We start from the raw sequence: 13,177 nt of genomic DNA on the forward strand, positions 1-13,177 counted from the left end.
ACTGGTACTTGGCTTTTCTGGCCCCACTGTCATGGCTTAACTCTGTGCCATCTCTTATCTGAATCTCTTTGTGTTTCTCCCTTATTCAGATCAACCAGTCAAGGCTCCCATAAAGATTTTGGCCTCATCTTGTTTTTTTCATCTTTGCTGCTTGTAGTCAACAGGAATTCAGTACCTTTAGCTGTACTGATGTGTTTACTCTTTCCTAGAAAAGCAAGGAAATGTTTTGCTTCTGCGTTGTTTTTTCTTTGCCCCCACACCTAGAATGTCTTTTTTCACAGCCCACGTTTAAAGCTGATCTACCTCTCATAAGCCACACATTCTAGTTTGTAGAGATGCTTCCCCTTGTTATCCTTAAGATCTCATTCTCTTCTGTTATTTTGGTGCTTAATTTTAGGTAGATGTATACATTGGTTCTGGTATCCTAGTTTTTGCGAATCTTGTCCTTTTCATATATCGTACTTCTTCAGTTACACATCTGTAGACCAGGTCTTGTAATCTCCCTTTGCTCTTCATGTGCATGCTCTTGGTTTGGAGGACTTACTGTTGAGCTGAGTGGCTCAAAGAATACCTAGAATGAGATTTTTAGCCAAAAACTAATTCAGGAGTGGCAAAAGCTTCCGTCTTCATTTATACCTACATATAACTAGAGCATATGTGCTAGAATTTATTTTTCCCCAACAGCTTTCTGAGTTGATTTAAGAGATTATTTCCTTAATTTGTTGTCTATTGGGTTTAATGTTGGCTTTTTGAAATAATTAGGTAAAACCCATTTTTATATTCAGAGTCATGAATATTCTCATGGGCCACAGTTCTCTTTCTAAAAGCCTAAAAATCTATTCTAAAATGAATTGATTGAAATATTTTAGAGTTTTTTTTTGTTTTGTTTTGTTTTTTTAAACAATGTACTACTTATTAAGAATGCTGTGAATTCACATCTAGGACCTCAGCCATGTGGCCGCTGGGGAATCAGTGGATGAAGACGTCCCTCCTCCATCAGTGTCATTACCAAAGCTGGCTGCGCTTCTCCGGGTATTTAGTACTGTGGTGAGGAGCACTGGGGAAAGCCTCAGCCCAATTCGGGCCCTCCAATTACTGAGGCATACGTAACAGATGTAAGTGCTTTTGGGCATTTGAAGTGTCATTCAAAAATAAAATTGTTTTACATTGTAAATGCTTCTCTTTACCAGGTGAACTGTTATTAATCCTTCATTTGTTTAGCATGTATGTATGTATGTATATATGTATATATTGTCTGACTGCTTTCTTAAACAACCAGAAAAGCAGGGAATCCTGTTATATCTCATCCTCCTTTCATCCAACTCCCCTACCCTCCCATGACAAAAGGCCACTCTGAATTTTTAAATCTTATTCTTTCATTTTTAAATAATATTTCTTATAATTTTACTTTTAAATTATTGGGTTTCCTTTTAGTTTTTCAACATATTACGAATAGCACACTATAGGAGAAGCCTCAGAAAGTAATCTTCTCTGAGCATAAGATGGAACTCATATGAAAACTTGTGTATCTTTATATTCTTTGATAGCCTGATATCAAAGAACATAAACAAATTAAAAATGAGGTAGCTAGATTGCCACACTTCAGCAGCCTCAGACATTAGCTGCACTGTATATAGCACATCCAGTGAGGGTTCAGTGGAAAAGACACAAGAAATGAACCCCAGGCATTGTACTCTGCTTTGAATAAGGAGAAAGAAGCATGTGTGATACCGTCATAAAAAATTTAATCTAACTGATGAAAATTTTACCGTTAGGATAAAACTTGCTTTTAGGAGCATATACTTTTGCTGAACATGTTGCTAAATAAAATAGGATATTGATTATATAGTAAGTTGTGTACTTGAGCAGAAATGTCAGAACTTAAAGATAAATGAAACCAGCATATCGGTATTTTAAACCAATATGGTTTCAAAATGGTTTAATATCTTTGCTTCATTTTTAATGTCTAAAAGGTGGTTGTTTGAAGACTGTACAGAGTTGAAATAAAAAGCCGTTAATTCAGACATAAAATAAAGGGGACATAATTTATAGGATAGGTGTATATTGATTTATGAGGATCTTTTAGGCCTTTGAGAATGGTAGAATGGTGGGGTTTTTATTTTTTTTATTTATTTTTGGAGCTGGAACCTCACTCTGTCACCCAGGCTGGAGTGTAGTAGTTCAATCATAGCTCACTGTAGTCTTGAACTCTTGGGCCCAGGTGAACTTCCCACCTCACTCAGCCCTACAAGCGGGTGTCACCATACCCAGCTTTTTTTTTTTTTTTTCCTTTTTAAAGTGGGGTGGTGCCATCACGACTCAGTGCAGCCTCTATCTCTTGGGCTCAAGTGATCCTCCCAGCATAGCTCCTGCTAATTTTTTATTTTTGTAGAGATGGGGTCTCAGTGTTTCCCAGGCTGGTCTTGAACTTTTGGCCTCAAGCAGTCTTCCCACCTCAGCCTCCCAAAGTGTTGGGATTATAGACATGAGCCACTGTGCATGCATGGCCAAGAATGCTTCCCCCTCCGCCCTCTCCCCTCCACTCTTTTTTTTTTGGAGACATGGTCTCTGTTGTCCAGGCTGGAGTGCAGTGGCACGATCTTGGCTCACTGCAGCCTTGACCTCCCAGGCTTAAGTGATCCTCCCACCTCAGCCTCTCAAGTAGTTGGTGGGACTACTGGTGTGAGCCACCACACCCAACTAATTTAGAAACAAATTTGGTAGAGATGAGGTGTTGTTATGTTGACATGGCTGGTCTCAAACTCCTGGACTCAAGAGAACCTTCCAGCTAATCCTCTCAAAGTGCTAGGATGATAGATGTGAGTCACTATGCCCAACCTCTAAGGATACTTTTAATGAAAACTATGGGTAGACTAAATAAAATCCTGTATGTATTGGTTGTTAAATATTATAGAAATATTTTTTAACATTTGCTCTGTTTTCTCCCCTATTTTATTAGAAATTTAGTACACAATTATTGGCCATTATAGTTAAGTGGGGGATTTTGTGTGTGTGTGTATTGGAAATAATATGATTTTTGAAGATATTATGTGGCAAGCATGAGAGTGCTTATCTTTCAAAAGAGACCATCAGTAGATAGAAACTTTAATAAGCTTAAAGTGACTTGTATGTTCAGTTTTGAAAGATTGATTCCCAAAAGCCCAAGAGCTAGCTTGTAGTATGTGTGGGCAGGCTATTCCCATGCTGTCAATACCATTACTGTCGTGGTGTATTTCATGATAAAGATTCTGAGCTTCAGCCATTTAGTGACATTGGGAGAAACGAAGTTGGGTATGTGGGAAATAGAGGATGGCAGCTTCCATTTCCTGTCATAGTAGCACTTTAGGATTTTTTAGCCAAGATCATGTTTACATATTGTAGTAAAGGCATCATTATTATTCAGCTACTGAGAACTAGAATATTAAGAGACTGCTGGCAAGGCAAGCAGTTAATTTTCAGTTGAAATTGCATTAAATAGAAAGTATTTTCTTGCTTTGTGGAAGCACGTGAATTTTTTTAAAAAGCTGCTGGTTTTCCCCATTTACAGGTTCTGTACAGAGTAATGAGATGTGTGACGGCTGCAAACCAGGTGTTTTTTTCTGAGGCTGTGTTGACAGCTGCTAATGAGCGTGTTGGTGTTTTGCTCGGCAGCTTGGATCCTAGCATGACTATACATTGTGACATGGTCATTACATATGGATTAGACCAACTGGAGAATTGCCAGACTTGTGGTACCGATTATATCATCTCAGTCTTGAATTTACTCACGCTGGTATGTGAATTATTCTTTTCCTTTTTAATGTGTTGGTTTATTCAGGCCCTTAAATGGATATGTAAGAAATTAAGGGCTTTGTCTGGGTATGGTGGCTCATGCTTGTAATCCCAGCGCTTTGGGAGGCCAAAGCAGAAGGGTTGCTTGCATCCAGGAATTCTGGCACAGCTTGGGCAATGTAGTGAGACCCCATCTGTACAAAAAGTCAAAAATTAGCTTGGTGTAGTGGTGTGCACCTGCAGTCCTAGCTACTCGGGAGGCTGATGGAGGAGGATCGATTAAGCCCAGGAACTTGAGGTTGAAGTGAGCTCTGATTGTGCCACTGCACTCAGCCAAGGTGACAAAAAAGGCCCTGTCTCCAAAAAAGAAAAAAAATAAGGGTTTTGCTTTATTATATAATTTTTTTAGAGTACATTCATCAGTCTTATAATCTGTGCTTTCATTTTAGTGTCTATTTACTTTTATTTTTAATGCAATTTTTTTTTTGAGACAGGGTCTCACTCCGTTGCACAGGATGAAGTGCAGTGGCATGATTTTGGCTCACTGTAGCCTTGACCTCTTGGGTTCAGGTGATCCTCCCACCTCAGCCCCCCAGGTAGCTAGGACTACAGGCGTGCACCACCACACCTGGCTAATTTTTTATATTATTTTGTAGAGATGGAGTTTTGCCATGTTGCCCAGGCTGGTCTTGAATTCTTGGGCTCAAGCAATCCACCTGCCTTGGCCTCCCAAAGTACTGGGATTATAGGCATGAGCCACTCTGCCAGGCCTCTATTTTTAGTGGTTGATAGCTAGTCTCAGTGTAGCTTTACTCGTTTTTTCTGAGGAAACATTGCTCTACGCACCAGATTCTTTTTTTCTTTTCTTTTCTTTCTTTTTTTTTTGGTCACAGGATCTTGCTGTATTCCCCTGGCTGGAGTGCAGCGGTACAATCAGAGCTCACTGCAGCCTCAAACTCCTGGGCTCAAGTGATCCTCCCACTCAGCCTCCCGACTATCTGGGACTACAGATGCATGCCACCATGCCTGGCTAACCTTTATATTTTTTGGAGAGAAGGGGTCTCGCTACATTGTCTAGGCTGGCCTTAAATTCTTGGTCTCAAGTAATCCTCCTGCCTTGCCCTCCCAAAGTGCTGGGATTACAGGTGTGAGCAATCATGCCTGGCCTCCTTTAATTTTTTTTTTTTTTTTTTTTTTTTTTTTTTTTGAGACGGAGTCTCGCTCTTTTGCCCAGGCTGGAGTGCAGTGGCACAATTGTATTTTTAGTAGAGACGGGGTTTCACCATGTTAGCCAGGATGGTCTCGATCTCCTGACCTCGTGATCTGCCTGCCTTGGCCTCCCAAAGTGCTGGGATTACAGGCGTGAGCCACCGCGCCCGGCCGGCCTCCTTTAATTTCTTAACCATAAATATCCTCCCCCCACTTTTATTATGGACGTTCTGAAGCACATAAAAATAGGGAGCATAGTATAATAAATTTGTACATATTTAACACTCAGCTTCTATAATTAGAAACAAATGGCCCATCTGGTTTCATCTAGGCCTCTTTGCTATCCTTTCATCTCCAACTGGATTATTTTAAAGCAAATTCTAGATGACATTCTGCTGAGCATTTCTGCCAGAATTACACCTCTCTTTGCTAATGTGAAAAAATGCCCATGATAACTGTAAAATACGTGTGTCCTATTTAGGTGTCTAAACACTTTAATGTCACAGTATTAAGGCCTTAAAATATAGCTTAGATATATTTTTCTAAATTAAAAGACTTCATTTTTTAGATATACAGAAAATTGAGCAGAAAACAGTGAGTTCCCATATACCTTCTTCATCCCAACAGTTTCCCCCTCATTAACATATTGTGTTAGTGTGGTACATTTATTACAAAGGAGTGAATATTGATATATTATTATTAACTAATTTTATAGTTTACTTTGTGTTATGTATTCTATGGACTTTAACATGTGTAATGACATGTTTCCCCTATTACCAGTATCATACAGGATAGTTTCACTTCCCTAAAAATCTTTTATGTTCTACCCACTCCTTCCTCGTTCCCTCTCCCCACTCCTCCCTCCCCCCATCTTAAGCCCATGGCAACCCCTGATCTTTTTACTGTCTCCATCGTTTTGCCTTTTCCAGAATGCCATGTAGTTGGAGTCATATAGTATGTAGCCTTTTCAGTTGGCTTCTTTCACTTACCAGTGTGCCTTGAAGGTTTCTCCATGTCTTTTTGTAATTTGAGAAGCTCATTTTTTAAAAATTTTATTCTTTTAGATTGTTGAACAGATAAATACGAAACTGCCATCATCATTTGTAGAAAAACTGTTTATACCATCATCTAAACTACTATTCTTGCGTTATCATAAAGAAAAAGAGGTAAGTAATACACTGATAATGAATTTTGACAACTTGAGTCACTGAAGAGTTGGACCTAATGTTGCTTACCCCAGGCTATATAAGTGAAATTGAGTGAAATGTGAAATGTTTGATTTAGAATATAGTGATTGTATTTGTTCTTTTAAATTTATATTTCTTGATAATCATACTGAATACTTTCATGAATGGTGTGCCAGATACTCTTTTCAGACTATGCATCTTTTGCTGTTATTAAATTTATTAAATTTTCATAAGGGTAAAACAAGTTGACACATTTATAAAGTTATAAATTAAGAAGTACTGTATATTTGGTAAACAAAAATGACTGGCTTTTCAACCACCCCCTAGTCAAATCCACCACAGACTTTCCTGGTAGATTTAAGAAACCCAGTCTTAAACTGCTGTTTGCATATGTCTTTTGATGTTGATTATTAAAAAAAAAAAACAAAAACGGCCATTTTGGAAATTTCCTATTGACAGTTTTCATTTATAGTACTCTTTATTTGTGATAAAACTTAATAGATTTGAAATAGCATACTGATCTGTGTCAGTTTTCTGATTGGTTTTTAAAAAATTAAAATATTAAATGCTACAGACAGTGAATTGATCGATCTTAAATTTATTTGTATCATCAGCACTAATACAGATAGTGATTTATTTTCCATATAATTTTAGAAGATTTATTTTCCATTTATCACTTCCTTGAATTTTTTGTTTTTCAGGTTGTTGCTGTAGCCCGTGCTGTTTATCAAGCAGTGCTCAGCTTGAAGAATATTCCTGTTTTGGAGACTGCCTATAAGTTAATATTGGGAGAAATGACTTGTGCCCTAAACAACCTCCTGCACAGTCTGCAGCTTCCTGAGTCCTGTTCTGAAATAAAACATGAGGCTTTTAAGAATCATGTGTTCAATGTAGACAATGCAAAATTTGTAGTTAAATTTGACCTCAGTGCCCTGACTACAATTGGAAATGCCAAAAACTCACTAATAGGGGTGAGTCTTTAATTGTAATGACTTTGTTTTATCCACATTACATATTTATGTATTTCACTGTTATGTCAACATGTCTGCAGAATCACTGTATGTAACAAACAGCCATATTTAAGACATGCCTGGATAAATAAAATTGGTAGGAATGTTTTCTTGCCATTATATTTAACTTTTCTTCTTTTTCCTTGACAAATCTTGATAAGTTTTTTTATATTAGTTTTATTTTCTAGAAAATGTCTTATGAATTTCTCCTATTTGCTCTAGCATGCTTACAGAAAATGTCAGTGTTTCTTACAGCTCAAATTTGTATAGTTGTTTTAAAATGCGGTCTCTTTCTTCTTCCCCTGGTACTTTTTTCTTTCTGTGTACTGAAGTTAGTTCTTATACATGGTCTTATATTTTGGCTGTCTCTTTTTCCCTAGGAACATTCATACAGGTTGAATATTCCTTATCTGAAATACTTGGGACTGGAAGTGTTTTCGATTTTGGATTTTGGAATACTTTTTTTTTTTTTTTGGAGATAGTGTTTTTACTCTTGTTGCCCAGGCTGGAGTGCAATGGCGCGATCTTGGCTCGCTGCAACCTCCGCCTCCCGGGTACAAGCGATTCTCCTGTTTCAGCCTCCCAGGTAGCTCGGATTACAGGCATGCACCACCACCCCTGGCTAATTTTTTTGTATTTAGTAGAGATGGGTTTTCACCATGTTAGCCAGGCTGGTTGTGAACTCCTGACCTCAGGTGATCCACCTGCCTTGGCCTCCCAAAATGCTGGGATTACAGGTGGGCACCACCATGCCCAGCCGGAGTTTGGAATATTTTCATAACACTTACTGGTGAGCATCCCTAATCTGAAAATCCTAAATCTAAAATGCTCCAAAATTTGAAACTTTTTGAGCACCAGTATGATGCCCCAAGTGGAAAATCCCACACCCGACCTCATGTGATGAGTCCAAACTGTTGTATGCCCAAAATTATTTAAAATATTGCATAAAATGACCTTCAGGCTATGAATAGAAGGTGTCTATGAAACATAAGTGAATTTCGTCTTTAGACTTGGGTCCCATCCCCCACATATCTCATTTTATATATATGCAAGTATTCTCAAATCCAAACATATACAAAGTCTGAAACACTTCTGGTCCCAAGCATTTTGAATAAGGGATACTGAACCTGTAGTCTTCCTTTTGGTGGTGGTGGGGGGACTTTTTTTTTTTTTTTTTTTTTTTTTTTTGGGGGAGACAGAGTCATGCTGTTGTCAACTGGGCTGGAGTGCAGTGGTGCAATCTCGGCTCACTGCCACCTCTGCCTCCCGGGTTCCAGCAATTCTCCTGCCTCAGCCTCCCGAGTAGCTAAGATTACAGACACTTGCCACTACGACGGGCTAATTTTTGTATTTTTAGTAGAGACTTGGTTTCACCATGTTGGTCAGGCTGGTCTCAAACTCCTGACCTCAGGTGATCCACCTGCCTCAGCCTCCCAAAGTGCTGGAATTACAGGCATGAGCCACCGCGCCCAGCCCGTGTGGTTTTTTTTTTTTTAAGTAATTCGACATGGCCCTGCTCTTGATTTGTATTTATTGTTTATGGTTTGTGTATTTCTTCTTCCTATTGGACCACACAGAGTTGAAAAACATCATTTTTAATAGAAAATAATAGGTGTAGGCTGGGCACGGTTGCTGACACCTGTAAACCCAGCACTCTGGGAGGCCAAGTCAGGCTGATCACCTGTGGTCAGGAGTTTGAGACCAGCCTGGCCAACATGGTGAAAGCTCGCCTCTACTAAAAATAGAAAAATTAGCCAGGGGTGGTGGTGCACACCTGTAATCCTAGCTACTTTGGAGGGTGAGGTAGGAGAATTGCTTGAACCCAGGAAGTGGAGGTTGCAGTGAGCTGAGATCACACCACCGCACTCCAGCCTGGGCTACAGAGCCAGACTCTGTCTCAAAAGAAAAAAAAAAAAAAGAAAGAAACAAAGAAAGAAATGGATGTAATTAGGGAATAAAGTTTTTAGGAGGAAGAAGGTAAAATTTGATGTTTGCGCTTCAATGTGCTCCGTGTTGTTTGATTGGATTGCCTTGTATAATTCCATAGCTGCTTCGCTTATTACCAGTTACAGTTTATGTTTGAAGTCACAATAAACTCTTCTTCAAACATGAAAGCTTGATTTTTGAGGAAAATTATTCACATTATTTACAGATTCAAAGATGTTTATGTCCTGTACTCTAGAAATAAGGAGAAAGTGGGTGGGGATGGGGCAGTCAGGTGGAGTGGAGTGTCTTGGCAGTGTAAAGGAAAAAGATGGATGGAAAAGGTGTAGGGTGGCAGGGTGTGCCTCTGTTTCCTTATTGAACAGGGCACCTTGCCATTTGCAGTATATGGAAAATTGAGGAAATACAGTCTACTTCCGCAAAAGGCACATACAAAGGGCTCTGTTTAGACCAGAGATCAGCAAACTATGGTCTGTGGGCCAAATACAGCCCAGCACCTGTTTTTTGTCTGTTATTTTAAGTGTATAATTCACTGATTTTTACTATATTCACAGAAGTGTACAACCATCACAACACTAGTGCCTGTTTTTGTAAAGAAAGTTCTTGTTGGGCTGGGCGCAGTGGTTCACGCCTGTAATCCCTCGGGAGACTGAGACAGGCAGATCACCCAAGCTCAGGAGTTCAAGACCAGCCTGGCCAACATGGTGAAACCCTATCTCTACTAAAAAAATACAAAAGTTAGCAGGGCATGGTGATGGGCACCTGTAATCTCAGCTACTTGGGAGACTGAGGCAGGGAGAATTGCTTGAACCCCGGAGGTAGAGGTTGCAGTGAGCTGAGATCGCCCCATTGCACTCCAGCCTGGGCGACAGAGCGAGAGACTCCGACTCAAGAAAGTTTTCTTGGAACACAGGTACTCTCATTCCTGTGTTTTGTGTGTGGCTGGTGTTTTGTTTTGAGAGAGAGAGTCTTAACTTTGTCATCTAGGCTGGAGTGCATTGGTATGATCTCGGGTCACTGCAACCTCTGCCTCCCAGGTTCAAGCGATTCTCCTGCCTCAGCCTCCCGAGTAGCTGGGATTACAAGTGTGCGCCACCATGCCCAGCTACTTTTTGTAATTTTAGTAGAGATGGGGTCCCGCTGTGTTGCCCAGGCTGGTTTCAAACTCCTGGGCTCAAGTGATCTGCCCACCTTAGCCTCCCAAAGTGCTAGGATTACAGGTGTGAGCCACAACACCTGACCTGTGGCTGTTTTCTTACTGTAGCGATAGACGAGGAGTTGCTGCATTGCATAGAGATGCTATATTGCACGCAAAGGCTTTACTGACTTCACAAAAAAGTATTTGTCCCAGGTGTAGTGTACTAGATCCCTTCCAATCTGTAATTTTAATTTAAAAATGTCCAAATACCCCTGTTTTGAAGGATAAACTCTGTATGCTTGTGCTTATTTTGGAGAAGCCATAAACTTACTTTGTTTTGTACATGATCAGATGTGGGCGCTATCTCCAACTGTCTTTGCACTTCTGAGTAAGAATCTGATGATTGTGCACAGTGACCTGGCTGTTCACTTCCCTGCCATTCAGTATGCTGTGCTCTACACATTGTATCCTCATTGTACCAGGTACTGTATTCACAAATTTTTCTTAAGAAAAGAACCCCACAAAACATTTTATTTTTTTAATGGATAGATTTTGAAGATGTATGTTGATTTAACTTTGGACTTGCTTGCTTTCTTTGATTAAAGATGAAAAGATAATCTATGCTTTGTCTTTCAGGCATGATCACTTTATCTTTAGTAGCCTCAGTTCTTCCTCTCCTTCTTTGTTTGATGGAGCTGTGATTGGCACTGTAACTATGGCCACAAAGAAACATTTCTCAATTATATTAAATCTTCTGGGAATGTTACTTAAGAAAGATAACCAGGACACGAGGTAACAGATATTATATAGTATTAACCATTCCTAACTTTGTTAATTTGCCTTTATAATTTGAGAAGAAGAAATGTGGATTACAAAAAATTTAAAAAAATGTGGATTATAGAGGTGAGGTAGAGCAGCTTCTTTATTGTCAAACACCTTATAATTTGGTTTTATTATTTAATCTAGGCTTTCTTATTCTTTCTGAAAAGAAATACATGAAAAACCTCAATCCCCCACGCCCAGTGTTTCATAGAAGAATATATATAGATTTTTAATATTCTTTGCTTTTTTTTTTTTTAAGACGGAGTTTTGCTCACTGTAACCTCTGCCTCCCAGGTTCAAGCAATTCTCCTGCCTCAGCCTCCCAAGTAGCCGCGATTACAGGTGCCCGCCACCACACCTGGCTAATTTTTGTATTTTTTTTTTGTATATATGTTAAGGTTTAATACCCAAAGTATATAAAAAACTTCTACAATTCAACAACAAAAAGACAAAACATTTTAAAACAAAATGGTTGTAAACAAACAACAAAAAGACAACCATTTTTGTCCATCTTACAATGGACAAAAGGCTTGAATAAACATTTCTCCAAAGAAGATAAACAAATGGCCAATAAGCACTTGAAAAGATGTCAACATCATTAGTCAATGGAGACATACAAATTAAAACTCCAAGCTATCACTTCACACTTACTATGATGACTATTATTAAAAAATGGAAAATAACAAGTGTTGTTGAGGATATGGGGAAATTGAAATCTTTATAAGTTAGCAATAGGAATGTGAAATGGTGCAGCTGATGTGGAAAACAGTTTGGCAGTTCCTCAATAATTTTTGTATTTTTAGTAGAGATGGTGTTTCACCATGTTGTTGGCCAGGCTGGTCTTGAACTCCTGACCTCAGGTAAGCCACCACGCCCGGCCTCTTTGCTATTATCATGCTGCGTTGGGAGGTTTTCTTAAAAGGCACACAACAATTTTGACAGTAATTTCTATAGTTTCATTTTTTATTTTTATTTTTTATTGTTTGAGATGTTTGAAAAACCAAGAGAAAACCAATGTAAGAAGACTAGGCTTTTAACTTTTTTTTGTTTTTGTTGTTGTTTTTTTTTTAATGTACAGTCAACTGTATATTTTGTGTTTCAGGAAACTGTTAATGACTTGGGCTTTGGAAGTAGCTGTTGTAATGAAGAAGTCCGAAACATATGCACCTTTATTCTGTCTTCCGTCTTTCCATAAATTTTGCAAAGGCCTTTTAGCCGACAGTAAGACTCTGGTTTTTTTTTTCTATTTTGTTTATCAGTCCTTAAAAGGGTCTTTGGTAATGGGAGATGGTCATGAATCGAGCTCTTTTCCTGACCTGAAGATGTGTAATCCTCATTTTAATGACAGATACACAGTCTTGATTTTTTTTCATTCTTAGTATTAGAAAAATGTTTTGAAGTGATTGTCACATTTTTAAGCTAACGTGAATGTTTATAGTTTACATATACTTTTACATTTTCTCTCAGAAAAAGTTTTGTGTGATGACCCATCAGTTACATTACGTGGGTTTTGTTGAATGTGTCATTTTTCCAAATGTGACAGTCAATGAGGATTCTGGACAAGAACAGTGCCTAGTCTATAGTAGGCACTCACTCTTTGTTGAATGAATGAATGGATTCAGATAATTATGACAAACTGGGATATAATTTCTTTTGGCCAGCTGAAAGTAACTGTCTTTTAATGTTTAATAGCTCTCGTTGAAGATGTGAATATCTGTCTGCAGGCATGCAGCAGTCTACATGCTCTATCCTCTTCCTTGCCAGATGATCTTTTACAGAGGTATGAAATTAAGATCGTGTCTTTTGACATTAACCCTAATAACCTGGAACTGTTAACACACCTGCTTTGTCTATTTCGTTCTTTCATAGATGTGTTGATGTTTGCCGTGTCCAACTAGTGCACCGTGGAACTTGTATTCGACAAGCATTTGGAAAACTGTTGAAATCAATTCCTTTAGGTGTTTTCCTAAGGTATAACAGTTGTTTTGAAGCAAAGACATTCTGTGATATTTACAGCCTCTACTGGTTGTCTACTTTAGGAGAAGACAGATCACCTATTAGAGCATTAATGACACATCTTTTATGGCCCTGCTTGT

The 13,177-nt window shown here is 38.7% G+C and overlaps 1 pseudogene across 1 annotated transcript in view; it reads left to right on the forward strand.

The window, feature by feature from the left end:
• SMG1P1 (SMG1 pseudogene 1) overlaps positions 1–13,177 on the forward strand; it is a 55,213-nt pseudogene that overhangs the window by 31,073 nt on the left and 10,963 nt on the right. Inside the window, exons 10-18 of the transcript NR_027154.1 lie at positions 943–1,115; positions 3,548–3,772; positions 6,045–6,146; positions 6,869–7,138; positions 10,611–10,741; positions 10,896–11,051; positions 12,184–12,302; positions 12,774–12,861; positions 12,951–13,052. The product of NR_027154.1 is annotated as an SMG1 pseudogene 1 (transcript). The remainder of the gene's footprint in view (positions 1–942; positions 1,116–3,547; positions 3,773–6,044; positions 6,147–6,868; positions 7,139–10,610; positions 10,742–10,895; positions 11,052–12,183; positions 12,303–12,773; positions 12,862–12,950; positions 13,053–13,177) is intronic.

The sequence above is a fragment of the Homo sapiens genome, chromosome 16, assembly GCF_000001405.40.
Source record: "Homo sapiens chromosome 16, GRCh38.p14 Primary Assembly".
In the NCBI taxonomy this organism is placed as follows: Eukaryota; Metazoa; Chordata; class Mammalia; order Primates; family Hominidae; genus Homo; species Homo sapiens.